The 23,293-nt window shown below is 36.2% G+C and overlaps 1 protein-coding gene across 16 annotated transcripts in view; it reads right to left on the bottom strand.

Moving 5' to 3' along the window:
* EPHA6 (EPH receptor A6) overlaps positions 1 to 23,293 on the bottom strand; it is a 946,939-nt gene that overhangs the window by 220,868 nt on the left and 702,778 nt on the right. For all 16 annotated transcript variants that reach the window (XR_001740110.2, XM_017006211.2, XM_006713592.4 and 13 more), the window contains one exon: positions 8,122 to 8,307. Coding sequence is in view for 15 of the 16 variants with exons in the window: in XM_017006211.2 (XP_016861700.1) it covers positions 8,122 to 8,307 (186 nt within the window). In the remaining variant the exon portion in view is untranslated. The remainder of the gene's footprint in view (positions 1 to 8,121; positions 8,308 to 23,293) is intronic.

The following is a 23,293-nucleotide window of genomic DNA, read 5'->3' as shown; positions in this document are numbered from 1 at the left end:
CAGCTGTTACTACATAGTGTAGTCTACCCGACAATTAGCAGCATAGTTTAGGGGCAGGAGAAAACCACAGAACTAGGGAATAGGTTAGAGGTAATTCTAGGGAGGTGATTTGAATGAATGACCTTGAGAAAACCCAGATATTTAAACACTAGAAGGACAACCAATAAATTATTCCTGCATACAGAAAGAGTTTATTCTTTTCTTATAAGAAGGGAAGTGTGCTCTGGAAGAGAGAAAATAAGCCAGTGATTCCAATTATCCCTAGACCTGCTTGAACAGAGTGTGATACACAGGGTCATCAGGCTATGTCATCTAGTCACTGTTACAGTCACACTTAGTTCGTTTTCTGTTTATCAATATGTGTACATTATAATTCCACATGGCAAATAGTTCCCAGTAAATGTCCTGAGAATCCATCAAGCCTCTAGAAATTGCACAAGAATAATTTATTTTCTTGAACAACAGCAAAAAGTATTAAGGTTGGTAGAAGAGAGAAAGCACAGTAAATCACCATTTATTTTTTGAACAACAGCAAAAAGTACTAAGGTTGGTAGAAGAACAGAGAAAGTACAGAAAATTACCATTTCTTCTCTTGCTGCTGCCTCCCAGTTTTCCCTTTTCCCTTGGATTTAATCTCTTCTCATCTTCATCCTATAACTCTTTCCCTAATTAATAACAGTGCTTTTTGGGGCAGCAGCTTCTGTCATGATCTCCAGGTTCCTGAATCCTCAGTGATGTCCTCAATCTTTCTATTATTTCCTGGTCAGCTTTCTTTCACATTCTTCATGGGAGCTACTTCAAGCATTCACAAGCATCTCAATCCTCAGTCTTGCTGTCCACCTCAGCAAATGATCCTGCTTCTCACATCATTGAAATAAAGGAAGACTGCTAACTCCAGTCTTGAAAGGAAGTTGAGTGTTATAGATACCACAATCCTTTTCATATCACAGTTATTTACTTTTGTACCCATTTAGGATCAGCCTGGGCCATTGTCTTCTAGCTCCTTGCAGATTTAGAAAAAGAAGAGAAACCTGGGAGAAATGAGGAGCAAGTTTGGAGACACCATTGTCATTCATCATGAATGCAATCTAGGATTCAAGAAGAATGGTGGACAATGAAACCAGAGGAGGTAGACTCAGGGACCTGACCCAGGACGACAGGCACATTGGCTTTCTTATTCATTACTGAACACCTAATGCTTAGAAAAGTGCCTGGAACGGCAGGTGTGATGGCTCATGCCTGTAATCCTAGCACTTCCCGTGGCCAAGACAGGTAGATCACTTGAGGTCAGGAGTTTGAGACCAGTCTGGCCAACACGGCGAAACCCCATCTCTACGAAAAATACAAAAATTAGCCAGGCATGGTGGTATGTGCCTGTAGTCCCAGCTACTCAGGAGGCTGCCGCAGGAGAATTGCTTGAACCAGGGAGGCAAAGGTTGCAGTGAGCCCAGATCTTGCGACTGCACTCCAGCCTAGGCAACAGAGGGAGGCTGTGTCTCAAAAAAAAAAAAGAAAGAAGAAAGAAAGAAAGAAAGAAAAAGAAAGAAAGAAAGAAAGAAAGGAAGGAAGGAAGGAAGGAAGGAAGGAAGGAAGGAAGGGAAGAAAGAGAAAAAGAAAGAAAGAAAGCAAGAAAGAAAGAAAGAAAGAAAGAAAGAAAGAAAGAAAGAAAGAAAGAAAGAAAGAGAGAGAAAGTGTCCAGTATGTAGTAGCTAGGCAGTTCATAAATATTACTAGATTAATGATTAACTGAAAAATGCTGAACATTTGGAATTTAAGTAAGGAATCAACACAATCTAATTTGCATTTTAACATCTTTGAATCTGATTGCAGTGTGCACATATCTCACTCTAAATCCATTGCCATCTGGCCTCCATTCCCATGATATGCTTCATGAGCTGTGCCCTCTGCCCTATCCAATGGACGCTTCTCAATCCATCTAAGTTGGTTTCTCAGCTCATTTTATTCTATTGACCTCTCTCTCACTCTTAGAAACCTGTCCTTTGCTTTTCAGGTTGCTCCTCTGTCTTTTTCATACACTTCTCTTCTTCAGTTGGCCTCTTAATGCTAGTTCTCCTCAATCTTCTGGGTAATCTCATCCTCCCTATGACTTCAACTACCAACCATCAGCCATCTATCGAGTTCTCCTTCTTTTGAACCTGCAGCCCACTCAGGCTCCAGGGACATTCTGGAAGTCTTTAACTAAATGTCACAGACACCTTAAACTTAGCATGTCCAAATAAGAATTCACTATTTTCCCTCTAGATCTGTTATTTCTCCAGAATTCCCTCTCCATCTTTTTACTTATGGAAACCATTCACTTGGAAGTCATTTGAAACTGTTCCATCGTCCTCATTCCCCCTATACAATCAAGAAGTCACTGAAGTGTCTTAATTTCACCTAGGAAGTAGATCTAGAATCTATCCCTTTCTTTTTCTCTTGACTTCTTTACTCTATTTTCTCCTTATTTTTTACTTGGAATACTACACTAGCCTCCTTATATTTTGTCTGCCCCTAGTTTCTCCTTTCACTATGTAATCCACACTATTATTACTTTGCTTATTAGGTGCTCCTCTAACATGCCAAATTCTTTCTTAAAACAAAAGTATGTAACTAGTGGTTTCCTCTCTCTAGAATACTCTTCTATCACACCTAGGCATGGTTTGCTCCCTCCCTGCATTCAGGTTTTTGCTCTTTACCTAAAGTTACATTTAAATATTTAGATTTCTTTTTGTCTCCTCTAGCAGTTAGTTCTGTCTTTTTTCATTACTGTATTAACAGTGACTAGAGGCCAGGTGCTGTGGCTCATGCCTATAATCCCAGCACTTTGGGAGGCCGAGGTAGGTGGATCACTTGAGGTTGGGAGTTCGAGACCAGCCTGGCCAACATGGTGAAACCCTGTCTCTACTAAAAATACAAAAATTAGCTGGACTTGGTGGCGTACACCTGTGATCCCAGCTACTTGGGAGGTTGAGGGAGGATAATCACTTGAACCTGGGAGGTGGAGGTTGCAGTGAGTCAAGATCGTGCCACTGCACTCCAGCCTGGGTGACAGAGTGAAACTCCGTCTCAAACAAACAAACAAAAGTTGACTAGAAAAATGGACACTAAATAAATATTTGCTGAATGAATAAATTTAAAAATTATTGAATAATTATAACGAAAACAGCACACACCACACCATATTGGGAAATAATGACACACTTATTTGTTGCTCCCAGTGGACTGGCACCAACAAATGGGCTTCTCAAGAGCACTGAGCCTTCTTTTCTCTATCACTAGGTTTTAATCAGCAATAGGGCCTAATACCTGGTCAAACTCACTAAATATTTCTTGGGTTTGGGGGAAGAACAAAAACCAATAGACTCTTAACCTACCTTAACTAGGAGCTGAACCTCAGGGGTAAAAAAAATCTAATGTATATCAGTAAAATCAGACATACAGAATATTTTACCCCATACAATGTATATTATACATATCCCAACCTTGATTTTACTTACAGAAAAATTTTACCTATAACTTTTCTACTTTACAAATTATAAGTTGAAAACTTTATCAAAGGCACTGTTTTTTTCTTTGCTTATTTCTTCCTGAACTTTTCTATTTTCTTATTGGGTCATCAATATGCACCTGAAGTTATAATAAAGTTGGAGGTGGAGTGGTAAGTTATCACTGGCACAAATTTTAAACCTCACCAACATCTCATGACTCTTCTTTTAAAAACAAAATGGAATCACAAAATATTAAAGGTAAATGTGACCTTTAATGTTTTCTAGTCTAATTTACTTACACTTTTCGTTTTTTTGTGTGTGGTGGTGAAAATTAAGGCCCAAAGTGGTTATGGGACTGTCCCAAATATAACCAGGTAGAGCAGCAGATGTCATAGCTAATACAGTAATACAGTAGCAGAAATTTTGGGGAATGCCTATTACTTAACAAGCAGAACAAAATTCTGGAACCAGAGAAGCAGTTTTTGTGCAAGTACTAAAATGTATTTGGCTGGCTTGAATCTACTCTCTTACCCAGATCCCATGTGGACCCACTCTGCCTCTCCAGAAGGAACCCACAATATTCTTGAGTATTAAAGGGGGTTTTGAGCAAGCGCAGCACTTTCTGTTATAACTTCAATACTGTCTCATGGAATATTTAGGGAATATTTTTATGAAATGAAATTATGTTTGGGAATTTGTTTGCTACCCTGATTGGTTTCTATTGCTCTTTACTGGATTTAGGATTTATTTTAGATACAGTTGGCATATCTAAATTTAGTTGTTGCTGTCTAAGCTGGGAGGTAGGCACTTCATTTTTCTCTTTTTGGTTCTTCCATCATCATAAATTCAAACTGCAGAGCCCAGTATTCTGAAGTGTGGTTACTGCACAGTATTTCTTCATCATTAAACCATAGTTCTTGCTTTTTTGTAGAACCGTAGCTCTTTCTCTGTTGGTTATATAGTTAATGACACCGGTGTATATGTTATCTGTTACAAATTGCTATTATCTGTGCTATTAATGGCTACAAGTCTGTCCTCTAACTTATGGCTTCTATTTGCTTCTTGGAGAAAAAGTATGTACTAAGCATATGGTTATGGGTCAATTAATCTCTTTTTATATCACTTGTATCTTAATAGGTTAATGAAATTGTGATGCATATCAAACAAATAGGTTCAACTCTTATCAAACACAGTTTTTTGGATAATACAGCTTTTAATCATTTAACTTTTAAGTTTAAAATAATGCCCAAATATGAAAGAGAGCCAAAGTGTTCCCAAGAACTTTATAACACTTGTCTTTCAGAGATAAATCCTATATGAGATAAAAAAAAATGCATATTAAGAATTTGTAAAAGAATCTGATGAAGATTTTGATCTAGATTTTGAATTACTTTCAACTGAGAGTCTATGAATTTATTTCTCAGAATCCCAGGATACTCTACAAACATGCCCTTATAAGCCTATACTGCATCTTTATCTTGATCAGTATTATCTTTTATGCAATGGGTAGTCCTTTGGGAGCATTAATTGCTAGCTATCTCTTAGCTACTTAAGGGTAATCTTGGAATAATTACTATGAATTTATGGGAATGAGGCACTCATTTATTTATTGGCTTTCTTCTAACAGTCCCATAGCACTTGAGTCAAGATGATAACAATATAAACCTGCCCATTTATCTTTACGAGGATTATTCCCTTCTCCATCTCTACAACCCACCTTGGTAGCTCCACACCACCCTATACGGGGCTCACTCTAACAAGTTAATGCTACAATGGTGATTGTCACTCAACAGTATACTGAATCTATCCTTTCTCAATCCGTTTTCCTATAACAGATATGAGATTTTTATTTTATTTCTTTTTTTTAAGAAGTGGAACAAAAACCTTGACTTGTAAATCATATAAATGTGGCTAAGTAGAGGTCACTGGTCTCATTTCTAGATGAGATTCTTAGAGTTGTAAAGCAATCACTATGTTGGATGCTTATGTGAAATAAACTATTTCAAACTGGCAGGCAAGTACCACATAATACCTTATTAAACATATTTAGTTGATGTAGGATAAATGATTCCCACTATTTCACAGGGATATACATCTTTTTTCCTTTTCGTGTGTGTGTGTGTGTGTCTGTGATTGAGAAAGGATAGATGTGTAATTCACATATAAGGAGAAAGGCATAATTTGATTTATTAAAGTAAGAAAATAAAGATATGACGCTTTTTAAACCTTTTAATTTATTGTTGGATGCTCATTTCCAGATGTTTCATGCATAAACACACATCAGAGGACTTCAACATCATGCTTAAATTGTGATTTAAAATGCTCTGCAAAGGTTCATAACCCAACTTGAAAATTATCTTTTGCCTGCCAGAGATATATAATACAGAAGGAATAACTTGAAATGTTCATGTTAAATTAATAACAAGGAAGTCAGAAAATATGAAAGAAATAATTAACATCTATTTCTTCTGTCTCTCTGTTTCTCTCTTTTAGGTCATAATCTTTACCAGGTGTTATGGCATAGCTGGCTCTTTCCAAATTTTATATCTTAGGGGCAATTAACATCACTCTACCTGAATATTTTTTTCCTATTCTGAAAGGCAGAATTATGTTATTTAATTCAGATTGTTATTTATTTAATGTTGTTCAATTCAAATAAGATAATTAAAGTATAAAACTCATTCAAAGGGATATAGCAAAAGCAAAAAAAAAAAAAGGGGGGGGTGGGTTTTAAAGTGAGACAGACTTCATTTTGAACACTAGTCATGCCACATACTGTAGGTTAAAGGTCCTTATGTGGGTTAGTTAACCTGCCTGGGCCTTCGTTTCTCATACATAAAATGTAGATAATGATATCAATTAGGGTTGCTGTGAGAATGAAATGGTAACGTATACGTATAAAGTGCTAGCACATATAGTCCCAATAAAGAATATTATTGAATGTGGTTTACAATGATGCACAAAGGGTGCTAAATGTATTACACATTGACAAATTTAATTCTTACAGCATTCCTGTCCCATTTTACAGATGTGGAAGTAAAGGATACAGATGTTAAGTAATTTACCCATAGCTGCATAATTCTTAAGTGGCAGGAGCAGAATTCTAACTGGGGTCCATCTGTTTGGTTATCTATTGCTGTGCAACAAACCATCTGAAACTTAGTGGCTTAAAACAACAACCATTTAATCATCTTTTGTGATTTATGGGTTGATGGGATGGAGGTGCATGGTTCCTTTCCTGCACAAGATGTCAACCACAGCTATAGCTATCTAATAGCAGTTGTAGTGGAGTTGTAACATCAGAGATGGTTCACTCACAAGGCTGCATTCAGTGCTGACATTCCGCTTGGAGTTCAGATGTGGATATTGGCTGAATCACCTCAGTTCTCTTCTTTGGAGTACTGCATGTGGCCTCATCTTATGGATTGCCTTTATTAGGCATAGAGACTCGTTCCAGGAAAGAGTGTGGCAAGAGGACAAGCTCCAACGTACAAACATGTAAGATGCCTTTACTTGCATCACACTTGCTAATGTCCCATTGGCCAAGGTTTGTTACATAGAAAAGCCCAGAATCAATATGGGAAAAAACTACACAACGACATGAACACTGAAATGCCCCATTAAGGCCACTAAAGTAATAGTCCACTGCAACATCTGTCATCAGAAGCATTCTTTTCTGTCTTCCAAACTTTCATAGCTGTCAGGAATCTATTCATTTTGGGTAGCATGTTGGACAATGCCTTGTGAGAAGGACTTAGGTGTTTCAGACACAGAGTCAATTGCACCTCTTTAGTAAGCTTTTATACTTTCCTGCTTCCAAATATGACATAAAGTTACAATTTTATTTAAAAGATTTTAAAATAAATGTTATTTTTATGAAAGAAAAATGCCTCTTTCAAGGATTGAAGTTATTTTTAAAAGGCCAAATCTGTATTGGATTTTATATATAATAATTCTTAGTGAATAAAGTAATGAGAAATATTGTCATATTTTATGCCCTATCATTTTTCAAATGAAAGTGAATATATAGCAATCTATTTCTTAGAGGATATTGCTAATTTTGGATTTTTGAAAACATTTCTTTTCAAAGGAATAAACTTTGTTCCATTATTTCTGTGAAAGAAGAATTTTTACTTGAGGAATTGTAAACTTTTTTCATTTTATATAAATTATAATAATTTACTCCTAATGCCATTTATATAGGTTCCATGCCGAATTTTTGTTTATAAGTTTTACTCCAGGTAAAGCATTTTATATTTGTATATGACATTTATTTCTAAACAGAAATATTTTACCTTAATGACCCAAAACACTGAAAGTGTTTGTTCTGTTACTATTGACATTTCAAAACACAAAACAAAACAAAGCAAAAACACATAACCCTTTACTCTTGATTCATTACTTTAAGTTATGTTAGGAATGATTTGCAGGTAATACCATGTCAAAGCTGTTTGGTGACCAATGCAAACTCTGATAATGTCACAGCCTAGGATCAAGTCTCTGAGGGGGTGATGATATCTGAACTAAGTTATTCCTTTAATGACTGTGGTATTATTATGAAGATTTTTCCTTTTCTTAAAAAAAAACTGAGATAGGTGTGTGAAAGAAGTAATGAAGAAACTCAGTAACTTACTTTTGGTGACAACCCCTTCTAGGCGAATGATGTTTGGATGGTCAAACTGGCCCATGATACTAGCTTCTCTTAGAAAATCTCTTCTTTGCCGATCCATGTGGCCACCTTTCAAAGTTTTAATGGCAACTGGGATCTCTCTTTTCCCTGGTGTCTTCAAACGCCCACTACAGACTTCTCCAAATTCACCTTAAAATATGAACAAAAGCAGTTATTTGATTAAACCGAACACTTACATTTCAGAAGAGTCAAACTGTCATACAGTGACATACTTTTTTCACATAATGACTCTTAAGTATGTTATTTTCATATAAACATTTCTTTCTTAAAGAGTAAGTTTATAAGGATAATATACTTGATCAGCAACACTTCTAATGAATAATGGAATGCATTTTCATGTGCTATATCACAGGAAATACTATTGATAGATATCCCTGATCTGCTGAGAAATTATGACTAGCAGAATGGGTAATGCTAATGTAATTCTATAGAAATGCAATCACAGCATAATGTCTTCTGTTCCTGTTCTCAATGCTGAAATATGGCCCAAATGTTTACTCTATTCAGGGAATCCATCAGGAATGTGTAGTTAATTCGATCCCCTAGGTCATATGACTGGGCGTCATTGACAGTTAGAAATTAATGTTAGGGTCAATTGATGTATGAACGTATTGAAAAAACCCACACTGAACTCTACCATAGTAAGTGATTATACAGGCTACATTACAAGCCACATGGATGGAAATGCAGATAAGGAAGATGAGATATGTTTCAGCATTGTCTCCATTGGGTAATTAAACAATAACCAAATATTTAGCAAGCATTTATTATATCTATATCCAGTGCTAGAATGTTGTGAGTTTCAAAGAAGTATAAGACTTGGTCTCTGTTCTCAGGTGCTTATAATCTGGTAGGAGAATTTAGATGCACATAAATTAAACATTTAAGAACTTAATAAATTCCTGTAAGTGCTATATTTGTTAAGTAAGAACAGTGGGGGCTGGAAGACTTCCTGGAGGGGATGAAACTTATGCTAGACCTTGAGAGATGAGCAGGATTTAGGTATTTGAGAGAAGCAGGGACATTCAAGACAGTGTGCATAAAAGGAGTAAGGGAAGTGAAGAAAAACATTCAAAGTTCCAGAAACAGTAGAGAGAATGACATGGACACAGGGCAGCAAGGAGACAGAAGGGGTTATTGTGGATAAAAGGTAATGGGTTTTCTCAGTGCAATGTAATGCATTCAACAAACTTTGAAATTCTAGACTTTTAATTTTTCTAGAGCTGATTACCTGCATTTCCTTAAGAACATGATGACTGTTTCCCAATTTATTAATATATAAAGTGAGAATAATAAAATCTTCCATAATCCTATAATCTCTCATTCCCATAAGGATATTGGGAAGATCAAAAGTGACAATTTATGTCAAAATGCTTACAAACTGTAAAGTACTATTCATACAAGTTTTAAGTTATCAAAATCTTTGGAAGGATGAAAGAAATTAAAATTAAAATATCTTCAGTTGGTCTATTAGCACTTATGGCCAACTGTAAGACACAATATAAGTTTAAGCATAGAATATCGAATTAGATTTGGCAGTACAATAGATTTCAATTATCCTTTCTTTTGACAATTTATCACAGTCAACTAAATGCTGACTATGCATGAATATTAACTACCTTTTGGTGTAGGTACTAAGATTTTTTAGGCAAAATAAATAACCAGGAAGGAAACAAGGCGTAACTTTGCTTCCAAAAAATTATGTGTACACATGTCCATTAGAAATAGAAAGCAGTCTAACAAGATAATTTATTCTATATATGTTAAACAAACAGGCAAAGAAGCAAGCAAACAAAAAACACTGAAAATTCAGTGCATATGATATTGGCGTTTTATAAATCTTGTATAAATTTGGCAACAAACACAAGAATAATCCTGTTTTTTTTTTCTTAGTGATTCTCTCAACCTGTTGGAGGATGAATTTCCTGACTTCACTGAAAAAAAAAAGAAGTTGTAGTTTTTCAGTTGTGCTTGTAATAATGCAATGATTTAGGTAATACCATGTCAAAGCTGTTTGGTGACCAATGCAAACTGATAATGTCACAGCCTAGAATCAAGGCTCTGAGGGGTGATTATCAGAAGATGGTATCTGCGCTAAGTTATTCCTTTAATGACTGTTGTATTATTATTACTAAGATTTTTCCTTTTCTTAAACAACTAAAGTAGGTTTGTGAAAGTAAAAGATTTTCTCTTATGCATAAAAGTGCCAATTGATAGGAACTTTCAACATATTTCTATTGAGACCCTGAAACTTAAGAGAAGTGGGTATGTGTGTTTACACTAATGTCCAATACATCCAGGCCTATTAAGATACTTGAAATTGATTCTCAGATCACTCTGGTTTGTTCTAATGAATATCCAGAACAAAACAAATATTTATTTTTTCCTTATTTTTTCTTTTACTTTGTCTTAATAAATCTGATAGTATGGATAAAAATCCAGTAATATTTTAAAAACCCTCACCCACCAGGAGCCCATAATCCATATGATTTTTTTCTGTTCACATTTCATAGAAATTCAAATAAACTTCTGAATGTCATGAAAATAATGAGAATTCTGTTGGTATTTTACCAAGATAGACAAAGTGGTAATTTTCTTTGTTTTCTGTTGTCTGAAATTCATGTATCTTATTAACACCAGGCAGGTGTTTTCTTCATGTCAAGCTTTGCATGATCAAGCTGTTTTCACACTTATTTCAGTGGTACTAAATACGGTTGCCTCAATTAAAGATCTGAGACTCTTAGTGTGTTCTCTAGGCAAAGTCCAAAAAGCTCAGTAACAGAATGTATTAAAACTGTTATCTACAGTAGGCTTGAATGAATCAGACATACGAGGCAGAAAGGAAAAAAAAATTTTAAATTAAATGCATAGTTTCAGATTTTGCTAAAAACTGATTATGTGATTGACATTGTAGAAAGAGGAGAGGCCCTGTATAGAACCATAAGTGATAGGAATTATTCCTCAATAAGATCTGTGAACATTTATATATACTGGTTAGTACATAATTAACTCATCAACTATAGGAATACTGTATTAATTACCTTTTTTTTCTTTTCCAATACATAGTTGTAATCATCATTACAAAGGTAGGTCTTACATAGTGTTATCCTGTGTCAGGTCTAAGAAATTACTATATATTTTATTCTTCCCAGTAAACCTTTGAGGTAGGTACTAGTATTATCCCAATTTGTTGGTGAGAAAATTGAGGCATGTAAGCTAAGTAAAGTACCTAACAGGGATACAACTAGAAAGTGGTAGTGTTGTCATTTGAACCTAGGCTGTCTGGTTTCAGAGTCCATGCTTGTAACCATTATTCTCTGCTGTCTGAGCTGTTTATCATCGTTAATATTTTCCTGTGTTGGCATATTAAATTCCCAGTTGGTAGCAATGGTGTCTTCAAACCAACTATTGTAATAGTGTTCAAATGCATGAACTGGATATGAACAGATGATTGGAATGATAAAACTCACATCCTAGGAATGCTTCACTATTAAATGGAAATGCAGACCTTGCTCAAATATATGTTAGATGGTCTAGAAAAATCACCACAGTCTAGTTTCTGAGAAAAAACAAAATTATATATAGGATAATTGATCTTCTGCCACTGACAGCACATTCACTAGCTAATAACCCCATCTATCTCCCTGGATGTTGGTAAAACATTCCTGGACAAGCAATTTTGTTGTATGTTATACAGGGTCATATTAAAGTATCAATTAGTATTGGGATTTTCATATAAAGTCTATATAATTGAACTAAATCTGTGAGGGAAGCATACAGGCAGTAAGAGACAATCTGTCTTGGAGGACCACTGTATCAGGATCACTTTGAGGCTTTCCAAAGTTTACTTCCCATGTTCTGAGATTCTGGTACTTCCTCCATATCCAACCCTAGAGAGCATTGAAGCAAAGAGCCACGGTCCCAATGGTTTTTCTCACACCTCTTGGGTGTGATGAAATGTTTCTTTGCTCATACTTGCCATTTCCCTCAGACAGGAATGCTCTCCCACAGGTTGTCTCCCTTCCTCTCCTGTCTCTACTCTCCTCAGTTCTTCTCTATGTGTATGGCTCCTTATTAGTGATAAAGGCTGAGCTTTGACATCCCTCTCTCAGAAAACTTTCCTTGACCAACCCATCTAATTTAGCCTCCCAGCACCAACAGGCCCTTTTAACTGTAAAAAGAAAATAAATAGCAGCCTCTGAGATTTGGAAGTTGGCCCAGCTCTCAGAGCTATGCTATTTTATTCCCCTATTGGAAATAATACGAACCTCAGGCTACTTTGAGACCATGATAAAATGAGACAAAGTAGGGTCACTTAATAATTTTGTCTAAGTACAGACAAAGGCAAGGTCATTGTGCCACCCCAAAACACCAGAAATCCTGTCTCTTGTCTAAAATGAGTGCAATTTTTAAGAAACCAATTATAGCTTTATTCTCATATCTTTCCTTCCCTTTCTATAGCTAAGATTCATTAATATACTATGGTGCGAGTCCTAAGATTAAGGCCCAATATTATTGGCTTCTGTGATAGCTGAGGGCATCTGAAAGGGGCATAAATAGCCTTACAGGAAACATTCTTCCTTACTCTGCTCCTGTAAATAAGATTTCCTAGCCAAAGAACCTGCCTTATCAAATAGATCAGGTCAAGTTCTTCTTCATCACTGAGAAGTAAGTTTCAGTTCCATGCCAGCCTGTGGAGCTACTCAAACAAGCCAATCACATCCTCCTGAGTATCGACGAGTACCCTGCCCTCTTGATGTTACCAAACTGCATCCCATACACATGGTTGTTCACTTTTTTTCCCAAATGCAACCCCTATGTGGCCCTGCATGGTGTGTGGTATCTCCCTCCTCTGGGCTGTAAGTGTATGTGATTAATAAATATGCATCAATCTCATCTGTCCAATATAGGGTCTGTGTGTTTGGCTGTCTCCATAGGTATCTCTTGAGGTACAAAATCCTTCCCTCACCAACAGGGTAAAGAGGAAGCAATTAAAACAGATATCTAGGGGATGAGATAAGATGGCAGAATAGGTGGTCACGCACTTGTATTACTCCACAAAAAAAAAATAATTCTGCACCCATTCATGATAAAAAATTTCTTTGTGGGAGCCCTTGGATTGGGGTATGAGGTTGTGAAACCAGAGTGGAGCCCAAGATCTAGGATTATTGTTTTGAGAGTACAGACCTGCACCTAGGTGGCAGACCCAGTAATTGTGGACCCAGCTTCAGACCCATAAATAACCCCATTTTCCAAAGGGTTTAGTTACAGCTCCGTTTGTGCTTGAGCCTGCTTCCAAAAGCATCCACCAAAGGGCTGGGAGGAATCATGCACATTAGTGCTTCACAGACAGACCCATCTGCTTCTTGCCATCAGTTTTGTCCGTGAACCCAAAAGCTATCCTGTAACAGCTTTTGGCTCCAGCCCCCTTTAGCTGTAATTCTAGCCTAGTACTTCTCACACAGGGACCTAGAGAGAGACTCACCCATCTATACTACCAGGACAGACTTGCAGCCTCTGTCCCACAGCAGATCATGAAGGGGCCCTATCTCAGCTCTAGCCCCTCTCTGCCATAGTCTGGGAGTAATCCCATCCATAATAAGACATGCTGGTAGACTCATCCATCTGTGCCATTAGACTGTCAGCCTCCATCCCACAGCAGGTCCTGAAGGGGCCCTGAATCTTGATGGTAGCCCTGCTTAAATGCAGCCTGGGAATAATCCCAATGGCACAGGGTGACTAGCCCATCAGTGCTAATGGGCTTGACAACTTCCATCCCATAACAGATCCTGAAGGGACCTTTCTAGGCACCAGCCCTTCTGTCACAGCCCTGAAGTTATTCCACCATGCAAGGAACTGCTAGAGATGCACTTGGACAGTCTTGCTGGCCTTCATCCCATAGAAGACCATAACTGGGCCCCAAATCTCAGCTCTAGCCCCTCTCAGATGCAGTCTATGAGCAATCCTGACCACATAGGGATCTATTGGGGTTCTCACCCCCCCACTGCCACTGGGTCAGGCTTGCCAACATCAGTTCCACAGCAGATTTAAAAATAGCCCTGAAGATTGGTTTCAGTCCCTCCCAGCTGTGGTCTTGAAGCAATTCTGCCCAGCTGGAATCCCACCAGGAGACATGCCTGTCTGTTTCCCTGACACGCTTTGCCAACCTCTGTTCCACAGTGGATCCTCAAATGGCACTGGATTTAGGTCCAGACCCCTTTTGTCTTCAGACTGAGAGAAGCTTGGCCTGCTTGGGCACAAGAAGGCATGTCCCACAGTGCCCATTCAGGCTGAATCCCTCACCTCTGTCCCATTGTGGATCTTTAAATGGCCCTATAAATTGGCCCCCACCTTTTTAAACTGCAGTCTGAAAGCAGGCTTGCTCATCCAGGAAACCACTGTACACATACCTATTCGTGGGGGCTAAAGATCTCAGCCTTGGTTGTATATCCTGAAACAATCTTATGTCTCAGTTTAAGCCCATCTCAGCCACCAATTTGTACAGTATGGCTAGGACAGGTACTCATTTAGTTATCCAACAGGAGTCCTGCCAGTGACCCAGCGGAAGCCATATCCATCATTGCACGTGGAAAAAGACCTGCAATCTGTGAATCCTGAAGCAGACCTTCATCATCCCAGATCCAGACCCAAAGATCTGGAGACAGTTCAGTCTGCCCAGAAACCAAATGGGACCCACACCAACTACAGCTTCTGGTAACAACACTGCCAACTGCAGTTTCCACTGTAGACCCAGTATCAGGCACAAGACCTGCATCCAATGCCACTCAATCATGAGCCCAGAGGTAATCTCATCAACCTGCAGACCTATTAGGAGAAAATTTTAGTTTGTCAAATCTATTCTATAAAGAGTGAAAGAGGAGTTAGCTCCTTCAAATGCAGACAGAAATGCAAGCCTACATGAATAACAAAGAATGAAGCAAACATGACACCATCAAAATAACTAAGGCTTTACTAACCAACCCCACCAAAAAAGAGATGTACAAATTACTGGAAAAAGGATTCAAAATGCTCATCTTCAAGAAGCTCAAAGAAATTCAACAAATAGAGATAGACAACTAAAAGAAATAAGGAGAACAATGCATGAATGAAATGAGAAGTTTGATAAAATATAGAAACCGTGGAAAAGAACCAAACAGAAATCCTAGTGCTGAAGGATACAATGGCAGAATTGAAAAACTCAATAGTTTGAATAGCTGAGGCAATCATGCAAAAAAATTAGAAATTGTGAATTTGAAGAAAGATTATTTGAAATTAGCTAATTAGAGGAATTAAAAAAAGATCAAAAAAGAGTGAAGAAAGTGTAGGGATATATGGGACACCATCAAATGTACAAATATAAAATTTATGAGAGTATCCAAAGGAGAAGCGAGACAGAGATACATTATTTAAAGAAATACTGTTTGAAAAAATCCCAAATCTTGGGAGGGATATGAACATACAGATTCAGGAACCTCAAAGGACCCCAAGAAAGATAAACTCAATAGAGATAAACTCAAAATTCTTGCTGCCTTAAATCTCATTGGTTTCTGATTTTAACATTGTAATCAAATTAAAGCCAAAAACAAAGAAGCTTTATGGCAGCAAAAGAGAAGAAACTTATTACATAAAAATGATCTCCCATAGGACTATACATGACTTCTCAACAGAAACCTTGCAAGCCAGGAGGGAGTGGCATGACATATTGAAAGTGCTAAAAAATAAGTTAACAAAACATACTACACCCAGCAACACAGTCCTTCAGAAATGAAAAATGAGATCAAGACATTCTAAGACAAACAAAAGCTGAGGAAATCCATCATCATGGGACTGGCCTTATAAGAAATGCTTAAGGGAATTGTTTGAGTTGAAATAAAAGGAAAATAAGTAAAATATAAAAACATATGGAAGTATAAAGCTTACTACTAAAGGTAAACATATACTCAAATTGAGAATATACTAAAACCGTAAAGGGGTTATGTAAATCACTCATTAGTATAATAGTTAAAAAAACAAATGTATTTAAACAATTATAGCTATAAACAATGGGTTAGCATACACAATATAAGTAGATATAAATTATTGCATCAATAGCATAAAATGTGTGAGGGAGGAGAAATATAAGCATAGAGTCTTTGTATGCAATTGTAGTTAAGGTATTTTCAGCTTAAATTAGAATACTTTAACTATAAGATATTTTATGCAAGCCTCATGATAACTATAATGAAAAACCTCTGGCAGATATACAAAATATGAAGAGAAAGGAATCAAAGCATATTACTACAAAAATACACAAATCACAAAGAAAGACTGTAAGATTGGAAGAAAGACAAAATAACTACAAAAGTCAGTAAAAAATTAATAAAATGCCTATAGTAAGTCCATATCTATCCATACTAATTTTAAATGTAAAGAGATTACAGTCTACAGTTAAAATAATGTCTAAATAGATTAAAAAACAAGATCCAATAATATTTTCCCTCCAAAAATCTTATTTTAGCTTTAGGGACACACATAGACTAACAGCAAAGGTATGGAATAAGAGGCAGATGGTAACCAATAGAGCATGGGAGTGATTATGCTTGTATTAGATTAGATCAATACAGAGTGAGGTGATTATGCTTATATAATTGTTATATTAGAATGACCTCCTTTTAGTCAAGATTGGGAAAAAGAGAAAAAGCAGGTCATTATATAATAACAAAAGGGTCAGTTCATTAAAAAGATAAGCATTTAAAATATACATGCATCTAACATTGGAGCACCTAGATACATAAAGCAAACATTAATAAATCTGAAGAGATAGACTATAATACAGTAATAGACTATAATATAGTAATAGTAATAGTATAATACAGTAATAGTAAATACTGCACTTTCAACGATGGATAGTTCATTCAGACAAGAAATCAGTAGAAAAAGAATGGGCTTCAACAACCCTTTACCCCAAATGGACCTAACAGGTATATACAGAACATTTCATCCAACAGCACCATTATACACATTTTTCTCAAGTGCACACAGAACATTCTACAGGATAGATAATAGGCCACAAAACAATTCTTAATAAATTTAAGAAAGCTGAAATAATATCAAGTATATTTTCTGACCATAATGGAATTAAACTAGAAAGTAATAAAGGAGAAATTCTGGAAAATTCACAAATATGTGGAAATTAAACATCACACTCCTGTACAACTAATGGATCAAGGAAGGAATTAAAAATGAAAGTTAAAAATATCCTCGGACAAATGAAAATGAAAATACAACATACTAAACTTATGGGATGCACCAAAGGCAGTTCTAAGAGGGAAGTTTATAGCAATAAATGCCTGCATTACAAAAGAGAAAAGTTCTTAAGTAAGCAACTTAATGTTATCTCAAGAAACTAAAAAAGGAAGAACAAACAAAGCATGAAGTTAGCAGAAGGAAGGAAATAATACAGATCAGAATAGAAGTAAATAAAGTAGAGATTAGAAAGAATAGAAAAGATCAACTAAATAAGTTTTCTTTTGAAAAGATAAGGAAAATTGACAAACCCTTTGCCAGACCAGACCAACTAAGAAAAAAAGAGATAAGACTCAAATCACAAATGAAAGAGGAGATATTCCAACAGATACCACAGAAACACAAAGGATCATAAGTGAATATTATGAACAACTTTACGCTTATAAATTGGATAATTTAGAAGAAATTGATAAATTCCTAGAAACATGGAATCTACGAGGACAAAGTTAAGAAAAATAAAAGAAAATTTGAACAGACCAAGAATAAAACTGAATCAACACTAAAAAATCTCCCATCAAAGAAAAGCCCAGACTTTATTACTTCACAGCAGAATTTTATCTAACATGTAAATAAGAAATAAATACCAATCTTTTTTAAAATCTCCCCTTGAAGAAGAGAGAATACTTCTAAACTCATTTTACAAGGCCAGCATTACCCTGATACTGAAGCCAGACAAGAACAATATAAAAAAACAGAACTACAAGCCTATATCCTTGATGAAGGTAGATGAAAAAATACTCAACAAAATACTAGCAAATCAGATTCAACAGCACATAAAAATAGTCAGTCACCATGATCAACTGGAATTTATCCCTGGGATGCAAAGATGGTTCAACTTACCAAAACCAATAAATGTGACACACTGTATTAACTGAATAAAGAAACAGAAATCATCATCATCTCAATAGATACAGAAAAAGCATTTGACAAAATTCAGCATCCTTTCCACTACAGAAACTTTTGATCTTGGAGCAACAATTAACACTTCCCAGCTGGGCATGGTGTCTCATGCCTGTAATCCTAGCTAATTGAGAGGCTGAGGTGGGAGGATCACTTGAGGAAAGGATGTGGAGACCAGACTGAGCAACATAGTAAGACCATTTTAAAAACAAAAAATAACTGGGTGTAGTGGCAAAGGTAGTCCCAGCTACTCAGAAGGCTGAGGTGGGAGGATCACTTGAGCCCAGGAGTTTGAGGCTGCAGTGAGCTATGATCATGTCACTGCACTCCAGACCAGGGAACAGAGCAAAACCTTGTCTTTTTTTTTTTTTTTTTTTTGAAAAAGGCTCTCCAGAAGACAGTTTGGTAGTCACTATCCTACACTTTTGCAGATCATATTGACCATTTCAGCTTTCAACTCCTTGTATTCAGGGGCATGAGACCTAAACTCACATCACCCAACCCTCTGAATTTGGGTGCACTGTCATGCCCCATGGGGGAACGTGAGTACAAGCTTACCCAACCTAATTCCGCCACCACAGGGCCAGAGCTTGCCATCTGGTTTGCTATGTCCCCATCCAAATCTCATCTTGAATTGTAGTTCCCATAATCCCCATGTGTCATGGGAGGGACCCAGTGGGAGGTAATTGAATAATGGGGGTGGTTTTCCCCATGCTGTTCTCATGATAGACAGTAAGTTCTCATGTTCTCATGAGATCTGATGGTTTTACAAGAGGCTTCCCTTTTGGCTTGGTTCTCATTATTCTCTGTCCTGCTGCCTTGAGAAGAAGGACATATTTACTTCCTCTTCCACCATAATTGTAAGTTTCCTGAGGCCTCCCCAGTCATGCTGAACTATGAGTCAATTAAACCACTTTCCTTTATGAATTACCCAGTCTCAGGTATGTCTTTATTAGCAGCATGATAATGAACTAATACAAGTGGCTTTTATACAAGATGCACACATATAAATGTAAAGACACAAGAAACATGAAAAAGCAAAGAAATATGACACCTCCAAAGGAACACAATAATTCTCTAGCAACAAATTCCAAAAAAAAAAAGAAATTTATAAAATCAGAGAAAAATAATGATGTTAAAGAAGCTCAATGAGATACAATAGAACACAGATAAGTAATACAAAGAAATCAGAAAAACAATTCAGGATATGAAAAAGAAATTTACCAAAGAGATAGATATTATAAAAAAAGAACCAAGCAGAAATCCTGGAATTAAAAAAGTAATTGAATGAAATAAAAAGATACATTCAAAAGGTTCAAGAATAGACTAGATCAAGAAGAAGAATTTTAGAACTTGAATATAGGTCTTTTCACAAAAACCAGTCTACAAAAATAAAGATAAAACAATAAAAAATAATAAAGGCTATGTGACATATGGGACACCATATAGTGACCAAATATTCAAATTTTCAATGTTCCAGAAGGTGAAGACAATACCGAAAGGAGAGAAAACTATGTAATGAAATAATAACTTAATCCCAAGTTTAGCAAGAGATTTAGACATCCAGACATGGGAGGCTTAGAGATCCCCAAACAGATGTAATGAAAAGGGTCTTCTCCACGGCACATTACAGTCAAACTCTCAAAAGTCAAAGCAAAGAAGAAATTCTGAAAACAGCAAAAGAAAAGTGTCCAGTCACTTATAAGGGAAATCCCATCATACTAACAGCAGATTTCCAGCAGAAGCCTTACAGGCCAGAAGATAATAGGATGATATATTCAAAGTTCTGAAACATAAAACTAGCAGCCAAAGATGCCACACCTAGCAAAGTTATCCTTCATAAATGAAGGTGAAATACATTGTTTTCTCAGAGAAAGAAAAGCAGAGGGAATTAATTACTATTACACGGGCCCTAGAAGCAATAGTTAAGGAAGGTCTACACCTGGAAACAAAAGGATGATATCTACCATCAGAAAAACACATGAACGTATAAAACCCACTGGTAGAAGAGAAAGGTCTCAATTACTACCACTACAGCTGGGTGCGGTGGTTCACACCTGTAATCCCAGCACTTTGGGAGGCTGAGGTAGGTGAATCACGAGGTCAGGAGATCGAGACCATCCTGGCTAACACAGTGAAACCCCATCTCTACTAAGAACACACAACATTAGCTGGGCGTGGTGGCGGGTGCCTGTAGTCCCAGCTACTCAGGAGGCTGAGGCAGGAGAATGGCATGAACCCGGGAGGCAGAGCTTGCAGTGAGCCGAGATCATACCACTGCACTCCAGCCTGGGCAACAGAGCAAGACTCTGTCTCAAAAAAAAAAAAAAAAAATTGCATCCAAACTAGAAAAAAGGAAATCAGATTGTCTCTTTTTGCATATGATATAATCTTATATCCAAAAATACCCCAACCAAGATTTCATCAAAAACTCTTAGATCACATAAATAAATTAATAAAATTACAGGATACAAAATCAACATATAAAAATCAGCAGTGTTTCTACACACCAATAATAAACTACCTGAAAAAAAATCAACAAGGAAATGTAATTTCAAAAGCTAAAATGTATAAAATAAAATATCTAGGTATAAATTTAACCAAGGAGATAAAAGATCTCTATGAGGAAAATCATAAAACACTGACGAATGAAATTTAGGAAGACAAAAACAAATGAAAAGACATCCCATGCTCATGGATTGTAATGACTAATATTGTTAAAATGACCGTACTACCCAAAGCAATCTACAGATTTATTGCAATTACTATCAAAATGTAATTTGCCACAGAAATAGAAAAAACAGCTTTACAATTAGTGTGGAATTAAAGAAGAGCTCAAATAGCCAAAGCAATCCTGAGCAAAAGAATAAAGCTGAAGGCATCATGCTACCTGACTTCAAAAGATATAACACTATTTTAAGCCAAACATTATAGTATTGCTATAAAAACAGACCAATGGAACAGAATAGAGAATGCAGAAATATATACACATATCTACAGCTGACGGAGTTTTGACAGATGTGCCAAGAGCATACATTGGGGAAAAGATATCCTCTTCAATAAACAAGGCTGTAAAAATCGGACATCCATATGCAGAAGAAAGAAATTGGACCCCTATCTCTCACCATATACAAAAGTCAACTCTAGAGATATTAAAGATTTAAATGCAGGACCCAAAGCCATAAAGCTAATAGAAGAAAACATAGGGAACACACTTCAGGATCCCGGGCTATGCAAAGTTTGTATGGCTTAGTACTTAAACGCACAGGCATCAAAAAGAAAAGTAGACAAATGGTACTATTTAAAATAAAAAGCTCTGCACAGCAAAGGAAACAATCAACAGAGTGAAGAGAAAACCTGTTGAATGGGAGAAAATATCTGAAAATTATTTACTTGACATGGGACCTATAGCCAGAATATACAAGGAACTCAAACAACCCAAAAAACAAAACAAAACAAACAAAAAAACAAATAATTTTATTAAAAAGTGGGCAAAGGATATGCATATACATTTTGCAAAGAAGACATAAAAATGGCCAACAGCTATCAGAAAAATTGCTCAATGTCACTAATTATCAGGAAAATGCAAATTAGAACCCCCAAAGAGATATCATCTTACTTCTGTTAGAATGGTTTTTATTATAAATACAAAAATAATAGGTGTTGGTGAGGATGCAGAAAAACGGTTACACTTATACACTGTTGATGGGAATATAAATTAGTATAGCCACTATGGAAAACAGTATGGAGGATCTCTCAAAAAGAAAAAAAAAGGCAAACAAACAAAAGAACGACCACATGATCCAGCAATCACACTGCTGGATATTTATCCAAAGGAAAAAAAAAAATCAGTATGTCTAAAGATACCTGAACCGCCATGTTTATTGCAGCACTATTTACAATAGGCACTTCTCAAAAGAAGACATACAAATGGCAGTAGATATATGAATAAAAAATGCTCACTATAACTAATTATCAGGAAAATGCAATTTAAAACCACACGGAGATGTTACCTGATATAATGGCCATTGTCAAAAACACAAAAGATAACAAATGTTCATGAGAGCGTGCAGAAAGGGAAAACCTTGTGCACTGTTGGCAGGAATGTACACGAATACAGCAATTATGGAAAATGATATGGAGGTTCCTCAAGATAAATAGAATTACTATATGATCCATCAATCCCACTTCTGGGTATATACCCAAAGAAAGAGAAATCAATATGCTGATGAGCTATCTGCACTCCAATGTTCACTGTAGCATTATTCACAATAGCCAAGATATGGAAGCAACATAGGTGTCTATTATTGGATGAATGGATCAATAAAACCTGGTGTATATACACACATTGGAGTACTATTCTCCTTAAGAAAAAGGAAATTCTGTTACTTGTGCAACAGGGATGGAATGGAGGACATTATGGAAAGTGAAATAAGCCAGAAACAGTAAGACAAATAGCACATGATCTCCGATGTGGAATTTAAAAATATTGAACTAATAGAAGAAGGGAGGAGAATGGTGGTTACCAGATTCAGTGTGGGGTGGGGGCACCGGTGGGGAAAGGGAAGGTGTTGATCAAAGTATATAAAATTTCAGTTAGACAGTAGAAATAAGCTTTAATGATCTTATTGCCCAGAATGGTAACTGTAATAAATAATATGATTGTATATTTTTTAATTGCTGAGAGAGTAGATTTTAAATGTTTTCACCACAAAAATAAGCATGTGAAGTAACAAATTTTTTAATTAGCTTGATTTAGTTATTCTACAATATGCACATCTATTACATCACACTGCATCCCATTAATATATAAAATTATTGTTAATTAAAAATAACATTTATGAAAAAGAAAAAAAAACCCAGACGTCTAATCATAGAATTGCCTTTACTTTCTGATAGCATTCAATCTAGAGCAAACCCCTGCTTCTTT

This window comes from Homo sapiens, chromosome 3, assembly GCF_000001405.40.
Source record: "Homo sapiens chromosome 3, GRCh38.p14 Primary Assembly".
Taxonomy (NCBI): domain Eukaryota; kingdom Metazoa; phylum Chordata; class Mammalia; order Primates; family Hominidae; genus Homo; species Homo sapiens.
Note: the sequence above shows the minus strand (reverse complement) of the source record. Positions and strands in the feature narration are given on the sequence as shown.